The following is a 2,807-nucleotide window of genomic DNA, read 5'->3' as shown; positions in this document are numbered from 1 at the left end:
TGGTGTGCAGAAGCTCTTTGGTTTAATTAGATCTCATTTGTCAATTTTTGCTTTTGTTGCAATTATTTTTGGCATCTTTGTCAAGAAATCTTTGCCCATTCATATGTCCAGAATGGTATTGCCAAAATTATCTTCCAGGGTTTTTATAGTTTTGGGTTTTACATTTAAGCCTTAAGTCTATCTTGAGTTCATTTTTGTACATGGTATAGGAAGCAGTCGAGTTTCAATCTTTTGCACATGGCTAGCCGGTTATCCCAGCATCATCTATTGAATAGGAAGGCCTTTCCCCATTGCTTGTTTTTGTCAGCTTTGTCAAAGATCAGATAGTGCAGGAGTGTGGCCTTATTTAAAGGCTCTCTAATCTGTTCCATTGGTCTATGTGTCTGTTTTTGTACCAGTACCATGCTATTTTGTTTACTGTATCTCTGTAGTATAGTTTGAAGTCAGGTAGCATGATGCTTCCAGCTTTGTTCTTTTTCTTAGGTTTGCCTTGGCTATTTAGGTTCTTTCTGGTTTCATATAAATTTTAAAAATATCTTTTTCTAGTCCCATGAAGAATGTCACTGGTAGTTTGATAGAAATAGCATTGAATCTATAAATTGCTTGGGGCAGTTGGCCATTTTAATAATATTGATTCTTTCTATCCATGAGCATGGAATGTTTGTCCATTTTTTTGTGTCATCTGTGATTTATTTGTGTGTTGTTTTGTAGTTCTTATTGTAGAGATCTTTCAACTCCCTGGTTAGCTCTATTCCTAGGTATTTTATTGTTTTTGTGGCAGTTGTGAAGGGGATTGCATTCCTGATATGGTTCTCAGCTTGATGGTTGTTGGTGTCTAGAAATGCTAGTGATTTTTGTACATTCATTTTGTATCCTGAGGCTGCAATGAAGTTGTTTATTATCTTAAGGAGCTTTTGGGCTGTGACTATATGGTTTTCTAGATACAGAATCACGTTTGTAAACAGGGATAGTTTGACTTTTCTCTTCCTATGTGGATGCCCTTTATTTCTTTCTTTTGCCTGATTACTGTGTCCAGGACTTCCAATACTATGTTGAAAAGAAGTGGTAAGAGAGGGCATCCTTCTCTTGTGCTGGTTTTTAGGAAGAATGCTTCCAGCTTTTGCCCATTCAGTATTATGTAGGTTTGTCATATACTGCTCTTATTATTTTGAGGTATGTTCCTTCAATGTCTAGTATTTATTGAAAGTTTTTAACATGAAGGAATGTTAAATTTTATTGGAAGCCTTTTCTGAATCTATTGAGATAATGGAGTTTGTGTATTGATTCTGTTGATGTGATGATTCACACTTATTGATTTGTGTATGTTGAACTGACCTTGCATCCCAAGGATAAAGCCTACTTGATCATGGTGGATTAGCTTTTCAATGTGCTGCTGGGTTCAGTTTGCAAATATTTTGTTGAGGATTTTTGCATCAGTGTTCATCAAGGATATTGGCCTGAAGTTTTCTTTTTGTTGTTGTTGTGTCTTTCCAAGGTTTTGGTGTCAGAATGATTCTGGCCTCATAGAATCAGTTATGGAGGTGTCCCTCCTCCTCAATTTTTTGGAATAGTTTCAGTAGGAGTGGTTCCAGCTTTTCTTTGTACATCTGGTAGAATAGGCTGTGGCTCCATATAGTCCTGGGCTTCTTTTTGTTGATTCAATTTTGAAGCTTGTTATTATTAGTCTGTTCAGGCATTCAGTTTCTTCCAGGTTCAGCCCTGGGAAGAGTGTATAATGTCCAATAATTTATCTCTTTCTTCTAGATTTTCTAGCTTATTTTTATAATATTCTCTGATGGTTATTCGTATTTCTGTGGGGTCAGTGGTAATATCTTCTTTGTCATTTCTAACTGTGTTTATTTGGAATTTTTCTCTTTTCTTCTTTATTAATCTAGCTAGTGGCGTATATTATTAATTTTCTTAAAAAACAAACTGTTAGATTCATTGATTTTTTGAATGGTTTTCCATGTCTCAATCTCCTTTAGTTCTGCTCTGATTTTGCTTGTTTCTTGTCTTTTGCTAGCTTTGGGGTTGGTTTGCTCTTGCTTCTCTATTCATTTCAGCTGTGATGTTAGTTTGTTAAATTGAGATCTTTCTAACTTTCTTTGTGTGAGCATTTAGTGCTATAAATTTCCCTCTTAACATTGCCTTGGCTATGTCACAGAGATTATGACATGTTGTGTCTTTGGTCTCATTAGTTTCAAAGAACTTTTATTTTCTCCCTTCATTTCAATATTTACCCAAAAGTTATTCAGGAGCAGGTTATTCAATTTCCACGTACTTGTTTGGCTTTGAGCAATTTTGTTAGTCTTTATTTATACTTTTACTGCACTGTGGTTTGAGAGACTGATTGTTATCATTTCAGTTCTTTTGCATTTGCTGAGGACTGTTTTATGTCTGATTGTGTGGTGGATTTTAGAGTATGTGCCATGTGGCAATGGGAAGAATGCATATTCTGTGTTTTTATGTAGAGAGTTCTGTAAAGGTCTATCAGGTCCATTTGGTCCATTGTGCAGTTTGGGTCCCAAATATCTTTGTTAATTTTCTGCCTTGTTGACCTGTCTCATACTGTCAGTGTGGTGTTAAAGTCTTTCACTGTTATTATGTGGAGTCTATGTCTCTTTGTAGGTCTCTATGTGTTGGGTGCATATATACTTAGGATAGTTAAGTCTTCTTGTTGAATTGAACCCTTTACTATTATGTAAGACCCTTCTTTGTCTTTTTTGATGTTTGCTGATTTTAAATCTGTTTTATCTGAAATTAGGATTGTAATCCCTGACTTTTTTTGTTTTTTTATTTACTTGATA

This window comes from Homo sapiens, chromosome 6, assembly GCF_000001405.40.
Source record: "Homo sapiens chromosome 6, GRCh38.p14 Primary Assembly".
NCBI classification, from domain to species: domain Eukaryota; kingdom Metazoa; phylum Chordata; class Mammalia; order Primates; family Hominidae; genus Homo; species Homo sapiens.
This window is presented reverse-complemented; position numbering follows the sequence as displayed.